General features: G+C 43.4%; 1 protein-coding gene across 1 annotated transcript in view, besides 1 other annotated feature; it reads left to right on the plus strand.

Moving 5' to 3' along the window:
* Positions 1–17,291, plus strand: part of LRMDA (leucine rich melanocyte differentiation associated) — a 1,128,545-nt gene that overhangs the window by 2,747 nt on the left and 1,108,507 nt on the right. The window contains exon 2 of the mRNA NM_001305581.2: positions 4,024–4,124. Coding sequence (NP_001292510.1) covers positions 4,024–4,124 — 101 coding nt within the window. The remainder of the gene's footprint in view (positions 1–4,023; positions 4,125–17,291) is intronic.
* Positions 16,197–17,082: an enhancer, noted in NCBI's record as "OCT4-NANOG hESC enhancer chr10:77210325-77211210 (GRCh37/hg19 assembly coordinates)". NCBI's record gives its function as "activates a minimal SCP1, AML or CMV promoter by ChIP-STARR-seq in naive H9 embryonic stem cells {active_cell/tissue: H9 hESC(naive)}" and the evidence as "EXISTENCE:reporter gene assay evidence [ECO:0000049][PMID:30033119]".

Below are 17,291 nucleotides of genomic sequence, written 5' to 3' on the forward strand. Positions count from 1 at the left end.
AGATAACAAGCACATGATAGGCATTTAATAAATGTTGGTTTTTACATTATTCTTAACACCTTTGGAGGAGTTAGTGTTAGCCCAGTTGCAGAAGAGGAAACAGACTCGAAGATGGTGACTCATCCGCGACAACACAGCTAGCAGTGGCAGTACCGGGAATCAGATTTGTACCTATGGTTGTTTCTACTCCGACAGCTTCCAGTACCACACATACACTTATTTATTTATGAATGAATGATAAGGTCTTGCTCTGTTGCCCAGGCTGACATGCAGTAGCGCAATCATAGCTCACTGCAGCCTTGAACTCCTGAGCTCAGGCAGTCTTCCTGCCTCAGCCTCCTGAGTAGCTGGGAATACAGGTGTGCACCACTGTGCCCAGCTCAGTATTACAAATTTAAAATCGAGGATCTCCCACCCCTGGCTAGGGGTAGGCATCAAAAAATAATCTCCTCAACATCTGACTGTTGACAAACTCATCATCTCCAGAAATGCCCTGGGAGCCAGAGAGTCCCAACGCAAAGTGAAACCTGCAGTCTTCTGCAGTTTGGTTATTTTCTGCAGCTTCGGCTTGGAGGGATTGGGTGTGTACATAGGTGGGGACCCCTTCCAGACACTCTCCTTTCCCTTTCTAGTTTCTTCTCCGTAGGGGTCTTTAACTTGTTATATTTTCATTTGCCTGGTAATGGTGTCCCTTCCTGTTATTCCACACAGGGTGGAGGTCTTAGGGTACAAATTATAGAAAATAGAGAAATTATAAGTTTGAATCTTTGTTCCTCAATGCAGTCTAAGTCAAGGTAATTGACTAAATGCAATGGTGTTCTGGATATGCTCTTGCTTCTGTGCCATTTAAGATCTATTAATCTCTGTATCCCGTCTCCCTTTTGCTGAAGAAGCAAACTATTTTTGGTTTGGCTCTTCTGGCCTTGAATCTTACATTAGGTGGTCCTGTGCTCTAAGAAGCTTCCTGACATCCTGAGAGGTAATGTCTTCCCTCAGAAGCACTTCTTAAGTCTTTTTTCTAGTTTCAAGCATTGCTTGCAATGTCTGGCAGTGGCTGCTTGCTGCTTTTAAGCCTTTTCCAGCTGATTTGAGCCCTTCAGCCTGGTCGGCTTAACTCACATCTCTAAAAGCTTCTACTTTACCACAGGAGTTATCTAAGCATGCAGATTACTTATCGAGTTGGTTCTCATGCTAAACTTTTGAGACTTGGTCTTCACATTTGAGAACAGTGAGAACAACTTGTATTTTTCTTAGTCTTCCTGGGATGTTGTATAGTTAAGACCATGTACTGAAACAGGCTGCTGACAGTCTCATCAGATGTTGTGAGTGATCCAAATGCTTTATGATAGCTCTCCTTGGTGCTCCTGTTTCCTTTGAATGGAATTCCTACAGAAGAAAAAGGGAAGCAAATATCCCTCTCTTTTCCCAGGCTCTAACACTCTTCTTGGGTCCTCAGTGTAGCACCGTGGGAGAAGTTCTTGCCCTTTCAGCTCAGAAGACTCATTTTGAAGCCAAAACATGATGATAGATGCACCACTGGCATTTGCTGATCAAGAAAACTCATGTCTGCCTGGTATGGTGGCTTGTATCTGCAATTCCAGCTATTTTAGGAGGCTGAGGCGAGGGGATTGTTTGAGTTCAGAGTTTGAGATCAGCCTGAGCAACACAGTGAAACCCCATCTCTTTAAAAAAAAAAAAAAAAAAGAGAGAGAGAAATCTCACACCCACACATGGATTTGTAAGCACTCCATGGCCCCCAAGTTGGAAGTCCTTATTTATGGCATAGGACTTGATCTGGGCTCTATCACTAAGAAGCTGTATTGTGCTGGGCAGGGCTCTGGAGTCTTAGTTTCCTTGTATAAAACATCAGAAGTTTTGACAAACTGGGTGTCTATTAGATTTAGTCCTTGGCCATTCTAAGAGGAAAGAGCCCAGTTTCTGCATCTAAAACTCAACGTCTCTGCTATATATATCACAGAGGTCTTGACTGATAATATGTGCAAGACAGTAGTGCAGGCTGGGGTGAATGGGATGGATTTTCTGGTGAGCGCCATGGACCTGGGGTTCATTGTGAACGTACAATACAGAAGAAGCTGCTGAATTTTTTTTTTTTTTTGAGACAAGTCTGGCTCTGTCGCCCAGGCTGGAGTGCAGTGGTGCAATCTCGGCTCACTGCAAGCTCCGCCTCCAGGGTTCACACCATTCTCCTACCCTAGCCTCCTGAGTAGCTGGGACTACAGGCACTCCCCACCATGCCCGGCTAATATTTTTTGTATTTTTAGTAGAGATGGGGTTTCACCATGTTAGTCAGGATGGTGTCGATCCCCTGACCTCATGATCCTCCCACCTCGGCTTCCCAAAGTGCTGGGACTACAGGCATGAGCCACCGCGCCTGGCCAAGAAGCTGCTGACTGAGCAGAGATCCTGAGGGAAATCGAAGTCCCCAGATAGAATAGGGCCTTATAGCCACAGTCTCTCTTTGGCATATGATTTCTGTCTCAGCTTGGAAGCAGAACTTAATTTATTACACAAGGAACTGTGAAGAAAGATGGACCCCAGGTAGAAAGAGGAGAGATTGCTAGATTGAACTTAGAGTCCTTTATTTTTTAGCCTATATCTTCTTGAGTCAAAATTACTTTATTGGAGTCAGCTATTTTTCTATCCTTTCTCCTTATTTTCTCTCCTCCTAGAATGAAGTTACTGAAGGAGAGTGGATATAGGATATTGCATTGTCAGCAGTTTGTCCTCATTGGATAGGAGAAGGTTGAGAGATGACTGGAGATGTTGAGGGTGTCAGGGTTCAGTGCAGCTTGTATTAGGTTGCACCATGTAAAAGAGCTATTTTGTGGTTCTAAAATGGTTGGATATTGGTAGTTCACATAGTTGAACCTAATATCTGAGGATGTAAGATGGCCACCATAGTCTTGTTTCCCATGAGGAAACACCCTCCTGGGGAGTCTCTCTCTCTCTCATTCTAAGAGATCTTTGTCTATATGTGTGGAAGAATGTGATTTGTAGGGAAACCAGAAGAAGGTTATAGCCGTGTCTTGGGCTTGAATTTCAAGCTGGGGGTTGAGCATGTTGTATTTTAGGGAAACAGCATGCATTGTGGCCCACTGGTCAACTCGGCCTCATGGGTTTATTTTATGGTTTGAGGATTAGTTGCCAATCTGCCCACAGAGTGCTGTCTGTAAAAATGGGTTCCAAAAACTGGGTGATTAGGGTAGTGAGAAAGTCCACTGACCTTCTCACAGGTTCTGGAATCAGTTCAGATTCAGTTCAGTTCAGCTTTTTAATATTTGGGCACATACAGGTACTTAATAATAAATAATCTGTAATAAATAGAAGAATGCCCAAAGAAACAGCTTTGTGCACAGAGTGGGATTGACTGCCAAAGGGCCTCTGGAGGAGGGACATTCAGGAGCCCCGGACACACATTGTTGCCCTGTTGCCTTCAAATCAGCTTTGTTTGGGTGTGGAGGGCATTTTGTACACAGTGGCAACTGGATGGGATTTGTGGTCTGGGGAGGTTTTCTTTTCCAACCCTATTTGTTCCAGCACCCTGAAGGTTGGATGCTGGTAAGTGCATCTGCTGTGTCTTTTATGAGGTAATGTGCATACCAGGGTACTGGAGGGCAGTGGAGGAGAGGGAGAAGAAGGGGCAGAGGAGCAACTGTTGCAAAAGCCCCTGAGTGAGAGGGCGATTGTTGCGGTTATATCAATGTGCCCTGATATTCAGGTTTCTTTTGGACACCTGAATCTGGCCAATTTTAGTCCAATTTCCATTGTCCTGGGATTAGTCTTCATCATGTTAACTGCACCAGGAAAGGGGAGCTGTTGGTGGAGTCCTTGGAGCCCCCAAAGCTGATTTGATCAGGGAAACAGTCACAAGTGTGGCCTTTTTGTGTGTGAGAAACATGTGTTTCAAGTTGCAGAAGCAATCATTGGATCAGTAATTTCAGGGTTGGGAGCAGCTGGGTGATTTCCATTTGCCACATTGTTTCTGTTCCATTTAATTTCCAGGTGTCCTACATAGGCCAGGACTGCAGAGAAATTCCAGAGCACCTTGGCAGGGACTGTGGACATTTCGCAAAGAGGCTTGATCTGAGCTTTAACCTTCTGAGGTATGTAACCTTCACAAGATGTAGGCCAGGCCTGGGAGGCCCAGTCCTCCTGGGTACTTTAGGGCCAAGCAGATAAAAGTCAAATGTTCCAACTCCACATGGGTTGTCCTTTTATTCAGCAGAAGGCTCTGAGATGCGTGGAATCACACCCCAAAGGTTTCACTGTGTCCGGTGATTCCTTGGCTGCCTTTTTTTGTGCTGCTGAAGAGGCAGGCAGCATATTGAGCCTCATCCATTTCACACGAGTTCCTATGAGAGAGCCGTCATATTTTCACTGTGTTCTTTTCATTTCTCACGGATACCTGTGCAGACAGGTCAGAATACTCTTGGGGAAGGAATGAGATGAAGCCTGCAAGAGTGTTTTGGGGTGTCTAGGTGTGCTTTCTTAGGATAAACACATGTCCCAAAACATTCGTCGAGTCACAGGTAGGGTGTGTGTATGTGTGTGTTCTCTTTCTTTTGTCTTTTTATGAATGGGAGCTTTAAATATTTGTGATGATAATTTCTCCCGGATGGTGTTTCAAAGCAATTTAAATACTGCTGGTGTGGAGTGGGTGGGAGGAAAACTCTCTGACAACTGTTCCAGTCTTGGCAAAGGTAAGTGTGATCTTGTATATTATTCCAGTGGAGAATACAGGCAGTTATTTCCTTTCTCCCTAAAAGGTTATGCCTTGCGCCTGGTTTGGGGGCTTGGAGGAAAGAAGTAAGAGGTACTTGGAAAGCAGGTGTCAGTGGGATAAGAGCAGGGGTCAGGCAGGACGATTGCTTTTCCTCCTAACAAGCTGGTGCCACCCAGGGCTTTTTCCTCCATGCCCTCCTTGAGAGCTGTGCTGCCCTCTGAGTGGGACAGACTGTCCTGGGGTCAAAGGAGAGATAAGAACCTGAATTCCATTCCAGGGCCCAAGCACTTTCCTGCTTCTAGGCCTTGGAGTCTTCATTTCCCACAGCTGAGTCAGGATACTTGGGAATTAGGAATTTGTAATTGGAAAATGGAACACAACTCTGGAAAATGAACACAACTCAGGGTAATAAGGCACGAGAGGTGGAAGAGGATTTGTTTGAGGTCAGCCAGCGGAACTCCTTGGATGCTGCTCGGGAGCACATGGCCACACAGAGCTGTGTTGTTTCCAGGAAAGGGGCACCCTGAGGGTTGTAGTGGATGGAGAGTGGCCGCTGTCTGTGTATTCTTCCTTACTCCCAAAGGGTTTGTGTGCATCTGGGGAGAGGTGGAAACTGACAAGTTGTAAAGTAGTACACAGGGATGAGAGGAAGCCAAATAAATACATGCTGACTCTAGAGAAATGAAGGATGTGTTTTTTGTTCCAGTACCTAAGGAGAGGACCGAGTGCGTGGCCTTGAGTGCTCCAGCTTCCCAGAGCAGACTTAGGCAAAAGGCTTCCTTTCCTGGGCATGGAAGGAGTTCCTCCTGTGTGACCAGCCCCCAGGGGCTCAGGGCACTGGAGCTTGGGTTGTGGTTGCCCTGAGTAGTTAGTGGGAGCCGGATGTGGATTTGAGGAGGCTGGACCCCGTGAGGGAGCATCAGTGCATGTGGATCATGGGACTGGGCTATTGGGTTTGAGGAAACACAGCCATCTTTGTGATGTCCAGGGGCCCTGCCTTTCTTTGGGAGAGGAGGTACTGGACCTTGGGAGGTGTGTATGTGTGGCAAGAAGGGGCTGTTGGCTCTGAGGGGCTGGATCTATATGGATTTATTGTAGGAAATGACACATACTAGATGCAGGAAAATTTCGTAAGGGGGTGGCTGAAAAGTGGATTCAGAGGGAGAGCACTGAAGATTTGTATTTTCCTTTGTTGAGAGGAGAGACATTTCTGTAGTGTTGAGTTTGAGTTGGTTTCACATCTGGTCAGGAGCCTGTTCTTGTCCGTGTTGTGGTCAGTGTGTGAACTCCACACTGGACAGTAGCTGAGTTTGGGCAGGGATGAGGAGTGGAGGGGTGAGGTCTAAGGTTCAGAAAAAGTTTGTGTTTAAGAACTTGGTTACACTGGAGTCAGTTGCAGACCAGAATGGAGAAAAGCACTCCTGACTTGAGTTGGGTGTGCTTGGGACTGGATCACCTTTGACCTTCTTTATTTACCTAATTGGAGGGAAGAGCAGGGGAGGCAACACTATTTCTCTTGGGTGTTAGAAGAAGATTCGAGCTTATTTGGGCACTGGTCTCTATCTTTGCCTTCAGCTGAATCAACATCTAAGATGTTTTAGATGCTTAGCTAATTCCTCTTAAAAAAAGAATAAGCAGAGGCCGGACGTGGTGGCTCATAGCTGTAATCCCAGCAGTTTGGGAGGCCAAGGCGGGCAAATCACCTGAGGTCAGGAGTTCAAGACCAGCTTGGCCAACATGGTGAAATCCTGTCTCTACTAAAAATGCAAAAAATTAGCTAGGCATGGTGGTGGGTGCCTGTAATCCCAGCCACTTGGGAGGCTGAGGCAGGAGAATTGCTTGAACCTGGGAGGTAGAGGTTGCAGTGAGCTGAGATCGTGCCATTGTACTCCAGCCTGGGCAACAAGGGTGAAACTGTCTCAAAAAAGAAAGAAAGAAAGAGAAAAAAGAATAAACAGGAGAGGGGGAAAATAGGGAGAAGAGAAGAGACAGGAGATTCTAAACTTACCTTCCAAATGAGTGGGGATGGAGTGGATGACCCAAGCTCTCTAGGCTTCAGGGATCATGATATCCAAATGAAATATTGTAAATCCACATCCCATGTTCTATAGAAAGTTTCTACCTAGGCCCCTCTGCCCCTCACTATATCCGTGGGATTGCAGGGAGCATGTTTCCCAGTCAGGCTGCCCTGCACCCGGCACACCGCAGCTCCCTGACCATCTTTCGGCTCTGTTGTCTGCTATTCTTCCTCTTGAGCAGCCTGCCTGGCCCCACTCTGGACACACCCTTCATTTCTCCAAAGCCCAACACCATGTTATTATGTATTGACTTGTACTGCCAGCTGAAGGTGTAGTGAAGAGGGCTGGGTGGTAATTGTGGCACACAGCAGGAGATAAGGTTGAGATAGCACTGTTTCTGGAAATTTTTTGGGTTCTCCTTGCCACAGAGAATTTCTCCCTGGCAGTGCTTCTAATTAGGGTCAGGCCTCCTGCATGTGACTAATGCCTCTTTCTCCCAGGCCCTTTCTCTCTTTTCCATGCCACTTACCATCTTTCCAGAGCTATCCTCAGAAGCACAAAATTCTTCCTTTGTTATATATAAAAAAATTAACCCTTTCCTCTACTTTTAGAATATCTCTACAGGCTTTCTTTCTTTTTTTTTTTCCTCCAAAGAGTTATATCAGGATATTGCCTTAAACAGAGCAATACCTTGATAAATAAAAACTTTGCACTCCTCTAGGTTGCAAGATCAGCTGCAGTCCATTTGTGTTTTAGGGCAAAGTTTACTTTTAGGCAAGGAGTTCTGTTTATTCAGTTTTTATATAGCTAATACAGGCACATGGCACAACCTTTAGAAGGAGCAAATATGCAGTGAGAAGAAAGTCTCATTTACACCATGTCCTTTAGCCTCCCAGTTTCCCTTTGCACAGCTAAGTATTGTTACTCAGTTTTTGTGTCATCTTCCAGAGATATTCCATGCATATACTAACATATGATTTTTAAATTTTTTCCAACTTTATTGAGGCATAATTGACAGCTAAAAGTTGTATCTGTAGCATACAACATGATGTTCTGATACATGCATACATTGTGAGATGATTACTGAGCTGAAGCTAATTAACATATCCCTTACTTCACACAGTTCCCTTTTTTGTATGAAGAGAACATGAATGATCTATTGTCTTAGCAGATTTCAAGTATACAATACAGTAATATTAACTATAGCCACCATGCTGTACATTACATTATGTTTAAGTTCTTGATCTATTTTGAGTTGATTTTTGTATATGATCTGAGAAAAGGGATCAATTGTTTTGTATATGGTGTGAGATAAGAGATCAGTTTTTTCTTCCACATATGGATATCCAGTTTTTCTAACACCATTTATTGAAGAGACTGTTCTTTCCCCTTTGTGTGTTCTTGACACCTTTGTTGAAGGTCAATTGACTGTCAATGCAGATTTATTTCTGGGCTCTCTATTTTATTCCGTTGGTCTATATGTCTGTTTTTATGTCGGTATGTATTGTTTTGATAATTATAGCTTTGTAGTATGTTTTGAAGTCAGGTAGTGTGATGCCTCTAGCTTTGTTCTTTTTGCTCAAGATTGCTCTATTTGGAGTCTTTTGTGTCACATGAAATTTAGGATTTTTTTTTCTATTTCTGTGAAAAATGCCATTGGAATTTTGATAAGGAGTGCATTGAAACTGTTGATTGCTTTAGGTCATATGGGATATCTTCCTTTATGTGTGTATCCTTCAGTTTCTTTCATCAATGTTTTGTAGTTTTCATTGTACAGCTCTTTTACCTCTTTGGTTAAATTTATAGGAATAAATTTTATTCCTATAAAATATTTTATTTTTTCATGTTATTGTAAATGGGATTAAGTTTTTTGGATAATTCTTTGTTGGTGTATAGGGATGCAGCTGATTTTTGTGTGTTGATTTTGTATCCTGCAACTTTACTGAATTTGTTTATTCTAACAGTTTTTTGGTGTAGTCTTCATGGTTTTCTATGTATAAGATCATGTCATCTGCAAACAGAGACAATTTTACTTCCTCCTTTCCAATTTAAATGCCTCCTATTTCTTTTTTTGCCAAATTGCTCTGGCTAGGACTTCTATTACCATACTGAATGGAAATGGTGAGAGTGGGCATCCTTATTCCTGATCTTAGAGGAAAAGTTTTCAATTTGTTTCTGTTGAGTGTGATGTTAGCTGTGGGCTTGTCATATATGGCCTTTATTATGTTGAGGTAGATTCATTCTATACTTAATTTGTTGAGAGTTTTTATTATGAAAGGATGTTGAATTTTATCAAATGCTTTTTCTGTTAATATGGTATCCTTTATTCTGTTAATGTGGTATATATTATATATCAATAAATGTGGTATATCACATTTATTGATTGCGTATGTTAAACTATCCTTGCATTCCAGGGATAAATCCCACTTGATGATGGTGCATGATTCTTTTAATGTGCTGTTGAATTTGGTTTGCTGATTGTGTTGAGTATTTTTGCTTGTATGTTCATCAGGGATATTGGCTTGCAGTGTCCTTGTCTGGCTTTGGTATCAGGACAATGTTGGTCTTGTTAAGTACGTTTGAAAGTGTTCCCTACTCTCCAATTTTTTGTAAGTGTTTGAGAAGGATTGATGTTAATTCTTTAAATGTTTGATAAAATTCACTAGTGAAGCCATCAGGTCCTGGACTTTTCTTTGTTGGGAGATTTTTGATTATTTATTTAATCTCCCTATTATTGATCTGCTTGGGTGAATTTTTTTATGTGGCTGGATTTGTATTTACTGCTTGCCAAGATGTTAGTTAAAAGAAAGGCACCAGGTTTCAACCACTCATATAAGGAACATCCTTCTTTGTTGTCTTGTCATTCATTCTTATCCATCCACAATCATTGTTAATTTCATTCATAAAAGAGATAGTTCTGCTGATTCTACTATGGCCACCTGTTTATGCTGGAAAGGAGGGTAGTTATGAACTTATAAGTTCTGGACTTTTGTTTGAAGTTACTGTATGTATTTTTTTTCTTCTCATTATACGTCAGAGTCTTCTTTCCTGCATTAACTATGGCAAATCCACTTCTGTGTTAGTTGGATTGTCCAACAGTAAACTGGTGACCTCTCCATGTAGAAGGTCATGGATTTCAGGCTGTATTGTTTTTGTGACTCTTTTCTGGGGGAGAATTAAAGTTACTGGAGCCAGTGTGTACCCTGTCACGTTAGAAATTGGAAATGGAAGCAAGAAAACAGGCCCAAATGAAATTTCTGGCTCCCTTAAAAGGCTCACACGTTCCTCTTTTCTGCTTTTTCAGCCTGGATCTGATTCTTCCTGCTGTGATCAGCCAGGAACCAAGTCAGCCATAGTGACTGTGAACTGGATTGAGTTCTCTGGACTCAATTCTCAGGGTCAGGGTCTTGCCATCCACCTTGGAATGAGGATAGAGGGTTTAGGGAGCTGATCAGGTAACAGGCAGGGGGCATGACATTTTGTCCCTTGAAATTGAATGCATTAGTGAATGTGAGTCCAATGTCTAGTGTGAAATTGTATTTAAGATCTTTATTTTTTAAGATAATTTTTATAAGAGTAACAGTAATTAATATAGAAATATTGGAAAACCCAGAGAAAGTATGGAGGAAACCATCTTCCTCTGAAGTCACTGATAATCTTACCAACCAGAAATCACCATTGTTATCATTGTATTGTCTTCCTAGTCTTTTACAATGCCAAATACTTTAAAAAATGATGCCATTGTTTACATTGTGTTGGAAGCATTTCCCCATCTCAATAAATACTTTACTGCGTTACAATGTTTTTTTAAGACAGGGTCTCACTCTGTCACCCAGGCTGGAATGCAGTGGAACGATCATGACTCACTGCAACTCAACCTCAACCTCCCAGGCTCAAACGATCCTCCCACCTCAGCCCCTTGAGTAGCTGGGACTATAGGTGTGCACCACCACCATGCCTGGCTAATTTTGTTGTTGTTGTTGTTAAATTTTGTAGAGGTGGGATCTCCCTATGTTTCCCAGGCTGGTCTTGAACTGCTGGGCTGAAGTGATCCTCTAACCTCAGCCAAAGTGCTGGGATTACAGGCATGAGCCACCATGCCCAGCCTGTATCACAATTGTTAAAGGTTTCTCAAGTCTTTCCTTAGTGTTGGACATTTAGTTTGTTTTTTTTTTCCAAATTTCTACTATTATAAATAGCTCTAATATAAATATCTTTGTAATACTCATTAATGAGTATGTCTCTGATTAGCTGCTTTGACAAATTTCTAGACAAAATAGGGCAGCTTTGGTACAGATGTCAGATTACCCTCTGGAGAGGTGATACCAGTTTCTTCTTCCAAGAGTATTTGAATGTCCATGGTCCCAAATTCTTCCTTGAGCTTGCTCATATTTTACCTTTCCTTTGTTAATTAGTAAAGATAATTCTGTGCTTTAGCCGGGTTGGTTCCTTAATCTGCTCAATGCAAAGAGGACATTTTAATGAACTGTTCCAGCTTTTTAGTTTCCCATCTCCCCTGATTGGGGCAGGGCAGAGTTCTCCTTGGTGGCCCCATTCCCCTCCCCCAGGGGCCCTGAGTGGGCTGCCTGCTTAGCTTGTTGAACACAGCAGGCAGAGCAGAGCTCCCATGGCAAACAGTGATAAATATTCCCATGTCAACCTGGCAATAAAAGCGAGAGGGTTTAATTGATCTATGGCAACAGGAAGCTTATGTTTTAAAAATTAAATTCTTTGCAGCTGCATCTTATTTTGCATCACTCTGATAAATGCATGGGCTGGAGAATTGCTTAGCAGAAAGTTTCTTAGGTAGAGCTTGCTTGTTGCTTCCTTGGCTTTGGCCGGGATGAGGGTAAAGGGCTTTGGAGTTTGGGAAACTTCAGAAAAGAAACAGTGGCCTTGCCCTTTCTCCCCTGCTGCAGGCAATGAGGCAGACACCTGGAATACTGTCAGAGCTGCTTTGAGGACAGACACACCATACTTTCTGTGTCTCTGTTATGAACTGCTAGACAGAGCTGGGCTGTTAACTTGCTGCTCTGTTGGGAAGATGGGCAGTGTAATGAAAAGAACCAAGGCTTTGGGGTTGGACCATCCTGGCTTGAAACCCTGCTTCTGTCACTCACCTGTTGGTTAACTGACTGTGGGCTAATTGCGGAAGTGTTGAGTGCTGTGTGTAATGTGCCTTCTAAATTACCTGGCATATAATGGGTCTTTAGTAAACATAGCGCTTAGAAGATGGTGCTAGTGAGGCTAAGAGCCTGGGCTTGACCCTCCATGAGGGCCATTTCACTATGGTTGTCATTGGGGCTCCTCACAGATAGTCAGGATTTCATCTCCTTCCACACATAATGTGTTTGCATATCTCAGCGTTCTTTGGTATGAACACTGGGCAGAATCTGTAAGAGCCAGTAAATGATTTGCCACTTCGTCTTTTAGTAATATGATCATCAGTCTTGGGTTCTGACTGGAATGAGTATAACCCTTTGCTTATCTGTTGTGGACATAGATTTTGAATGAGAAATACATCTGTGTTATAAGATTTTGGAGTTACTTGTTAATGCAGCATAACCTAGCCTATCCTAACTAATATAAATACCTTAGCTTTCCAACTGTCCCTGATATTCCATAGGCTAAACCAGCTCACCTCATATATATTTTTTATCCCTGCCAGCTAGGAGCATATATTTGATCATGTTCCAGTGGGATTGGGGAGAGAAAATTCCCCACCCAGACTCTCAGGAGAACAGTTCAAAGGACATGTTCTGTTGGTAGTGGGTCTTCATTAAATACTGGCTTTGCAGCCAAGGGCCTTATTCATATTTATTTCCAACCTCAAATGTAGTGGTCTTATTTGGGAAGCATGCTGATATTGGGGTAGGGGAGGCAACAGAGCTCATGTCTGTAAGCCTTGAGCAGAAGAGGTGATGGTAGAAAAGATAGACTTTAGAAGATAAATTGTTAGTGAATTTTCAATGTAGTTCTAGGGCACTGATATATCCTGACTGATTCCTAGGAGGCAAGGTTCTATGTATGTTAGAACCAGTGTTCTCTTTAAGCTGAGCAATGCAGTAAAAAAAAATATTTTTGTTCCAAGAATATCACTGGCCATCCTGGTGTCTCCAGCTACCACCAGAACATACAATGAAAAGATGAAGTGGAAAATGACGTGGTGGGTGATGTATAATGTCTCAGTTGTGACCAGCCTGGCCAACGTGGTGAAACCCCATCTCTACTAAAAACACAAAAATTAGCAGGGCGTGGTGGTGGGTGCTTATAATCCTAGCTACTCAGGAGGCTGAGGCAGGAGAATTCCTTGAACCCAGGAGGCAGAGGTTGCAATGAGCCAAGATCACACCACTGCACACCAGCCTGGGCAACAAAGCAAGACTCCATCTCAAAAAAAAGAAAAAAGTTTCACTTAGAAGACTTTGATTCTCTTTACTTGCACTTTCTGGAGTGACCTCCCTGCCTGTAGAAGTGTCAAAACAGTCTGACTAGCTTGGGCGTGGTGGCTCACACCTGTAACCCAGCACTTTGGGAGGCTCAGTTGAGCCCAGGAGTTTGAAACCAGCCTGGGGAACATAGCAAGACCCCATCTCTACAAAAAATACACATAATTAGCTGGGTGTGGTGGCATGCACCTGTAGTTTCAGCTACTTGGGAGGCTGAGGTGGGAGGATCACTTGAACCCAGAAGGTAGAGGCTGCAGTGTTTGTGCTACTGCACTCCAGCCTGGGTGACAGAGCAAGACCCAGTCTCAACAACAAACAAACAAAAATCTGACTCCATAAGGGAGGGAAGAGCACTAAGGCAGCAGGTTTCAGGCCAATGTGAGGGTGGTTTTTGTGGCACTCCCTCCTCCCTAAGGCTTCCTGACTTCCTGGATTTCTACCCAGAGAAAATGATACTTTGTGCCACGGTAAGACTGGCCCAGGAGGTGGTGGGCAACTGGAGAGAGTTGCTAAGGGGCCACAGGACTTCCCTGAGGTTCACTTTCTTGAATGATGATGATCCCTGTAACTTGCAATATAATTTAGAAAGTGCTTTCATAAACATTGTCTCCATATTTTCTGCAGCATTTGCCTCTAAGATAAGACATTCCTAGACTTTTGTATAATGCTTTTTATTTCCCCTCTCACCCATTTTACTGTCCCAGAATCTTGGGGTTTATTTTCCTGTCTTGTAAAGTCTCTCTCTCTCCCTGAGCTGTTGGAATTTGGGCCGCACTGCCCCACCCTCTCCCTCTGCCCTGCTGTCTGTTCTGAGGACATTATCGTGCATGTGAGTGGTGCTGCCTTCCACATTGTCAGGGTGGCTGTTAGGAGCAGTGGTGATTTGGGGGTGTTAGGAAGGAGACTGGAGAATTTAACCCTTTCAGACTTTCTACTTGCTAGACCTTCAAGTTCTCAACCAGGAAATTCTGCTACTATAGAGGGCATTTTATTGTCACAGTGATGGGGGTGGGCTCTATTAGCATTTAGTGGGTGAGGCCAGGGATGGCAAATGTTGTCAGGGCATAGGACAGCTTTGGATGAAAGGAATCCTTCCCCCACTATGCCAACTGCAGCCTGTTGAGAAAGACCTCTGGGGCCCTGTTGGAGATGGCTGGCAGAATGGTTCTCTTGATGAGCTTCATGATAAAGCAGACTTGCCAATAATACCAAGAGAGAAGACTGGCTCTACTCTCCAAAGGAGTCCAGGGACAGAGAGTCAGACAGATGACATCAGAAGTCATGTTTAGGCTGGGTACAGTGGCTCACGCCTATAATCCCAGCACTTTGGGATACTGAGGTGGGCAGATCACTTGAGGTCAGAAGTTCAAGACCAGCCTGGCCAACATGGCAAAACCCCATCTCTACTAAAAATACAAAAATTAGCCAGGTGTGGTGGCATGCGCCTGTAATCCAAGCTACTCGGGAGGCTGAGGCAGGAGAATCATTTGAACCCAGGAGGCGGAAGTTGCAGTGAGCCAAGATCGTGCCACTGCACTCCAGCCTGGGCGACAGAGTGAGACTCCATCTCAAAAAAAAAAAAAAAAAAAAAGAAGTCGTGTTTATTTTCAGCCAACATTATCAAGTATACACTACATGCCATGGCTGGGCAGAACACTTACATATGTTATCTCATTTACTCCCAACAACATTTTGAGAATGGAGCTGTTCTTATCCACATTTCACAGATGAAGCAACTGAGGCCCAGAGAAGCAGAGTAATTGCCTGAGACCACCCTGATGGTTAAATGGGAGAGCTGGGATAAATGGCCCCAGTGGTCTGACTTCAGCTTTACAGTTATCCTAAACTGCTTTTCATGGTGTAAATCTTTTTTCTGTGTGTGGGAGAAGACAGCTACTGCCAAGCCTGTATTTACTTTTGGGTGGGGATTGGGAGGGAAGTTTCCTTCTTTTTTTTTTTTTGAATCATTAAAGCCTGTGGAAGTCACTATACCAGGGTCTGAGTAGATTTTGTTGCTCTGAGTTCAAGACCCTAGAGGCCCTGAAGTCATACGTATATAGCATTTCCTGCTCTCTCCCATTTCTCTAAAACCTTTCTGATTTGGAAAGTTTGGCGAGGCAGGACCTCATGAGGCCTGGGAGGTGGGAGTTTCCCAGAGAACTTATCTTCTTCTTTCTTCCTCTCCCCTGCTCTGTGAGATGTGGTTCAGATCAGAGATCGCAGCCGTGGGACAAATGGCTCAACAACTGCTGACTGTGGTGCCAGCCTTGGGACTGGGGGACCTTGAGATGGACAACTGCATGCTTGAATTTTGAGTCTGAAGGGAAAAGAAGAGGTGCGTGGGGGTGTGTGTGTATTTGCACATGAACTCACTTGCCTGCACACACCCACCGTCTGAAAGGCCTCTTTCCTCTCCTCAGGGACTGTAGTGTTGGTGATTTCAGCTGTTCCCTGCTCCTTGATGATGAAAGGGGAGCGATTATGCTTTTTGCTGGGTGTCTGTGTTTAATTGCAGGGATATAATAACTACAAATTCTCCCTGGCCGAGACTTTTCTAATAAAAGGTTTCTTCCATCCCAGCTGCTTTCTCTTCCCTTTCACACCCCCACCCCCATCACTGTCCTAGCACAAGGTCACTTAGGGTTTTAAATGAGAGAGAGACACACACATGTTCAGGTTTCGCGTAGAGTGTTTTTTTAAAGCTCCTCCTCCAGACCCATCATTATGGAGATCAGCTGCTTGCCCCCACCTCTGCACCACCTCCCCTAAGCTCCTTGCTGAGTTTATACAGAACCCAATTTTTCAGTCTCTTGGGTGTCTGCTTTTTCTCTGGTTCTGAAGAAATAAGAGACGGGTAGAACAGGGAAGACCAACAAAAGAGGTTTAAAAGAAAAAAAAAATCACCAAACCATTCTTGAGATAAAGCAAGACTTATTAAACACAATTGGAGGGAGGGCAGGAGAGGCGGTGTTAACCCCCACACGGCCCGTTTCCTGCAGCTGGAGAAGTGTTTTAAGAAAATGCACCATTGTTAAAACTTTCTTTTTCCTTGATGGATTTATTTATAAGGTAGAGAAATATTTTCCCCATAATTGGGTAACTCTTAATAGTAGCAATTGCATATTTATCAGTGTGAGGGGCTGTTATTAATGTAACTGTCAGGCCCAAACACATTTCTGCATTAAATCCATTTAGTATGTGCATTATTCGGGCTCGAATGTCACCGGGACATCAAAGCCCCGTAGGCATGGAGAGCTCAGTGCCCTGCTGTGGCTGCCGAACAGGCCCTTGATCAATAAATGTAACATGTTAATGCAGAGCAAATAGAATAAAAGATTTCTTTGACAAGACATGAAAAATCACCTTGTGGCAGCTGGCATGTGATGCCGTTTCTGGGGAGACACTAGCAAAGTTGATCTGACAAGTAAAGAGGAGAGATGATGGTTGTAAGGTGCTTTTGTTTCAAACTTCTTTCTTGACCTGTCAGGTTTTGAAGGCGCCTCAATGGCTCTTTTTTGTCATGTGAAAATTGTAGTCTTAGGTAGTTATGAAGCAGTTATCTCTTCTCAAATTGTGAATGCTGCTGTTTAATTGATTCACTTAGCATTTGAAACTGTCACGCATTAATAATTGCGAAATCCTGTAGATACTGCGTGAGTGTGTCATGCTTAAATGTGTAGTTATCAGAAAATTAATATCCTTAATGAACCGGTGCTTTCAAACTAACATTGCATGAAATCTCTTTTGCCCTTTCATTTGCTGAAGCCACATCCGCCAGTTTGCCGAGAATCACCTCTCGACAGTTTGCTTTCTTGATGCCCGACAAATGCCAGCTTTGCTGTGGGTACATCGCGTGCTCAATGACAATAAATATAGTAATTATACTGGAGTTAGTAATTAACATAATTGTAGTCAATTACGACAAATACAGTGCAGAGCTAAATAAATGAGAGGGGAGAAATTAGCAAGCTAATTGATTTATCTTTACTTGGCTTTCTATTACAACTGGCAGGGCTGTTTTTCTTGGGGTAGGGGAAGTGGAGGGGAGAAAAATTCCCCACAAGGATTGTTTACAAATAA

The sequence above is a fragment of the Homo sapiens genome, chromosome 10, assembly GCF_000001405.40.
Source record: "Homo sapiens chromosome 10, GRCh38.p14 Primary Assembly".
Taxonomy (NCBI): domain Eukaryota; kingdom Metazoa; phylum Chordata; class Mammalia; order Primates; family Hominidae; genus Homo; species Homo sapiens.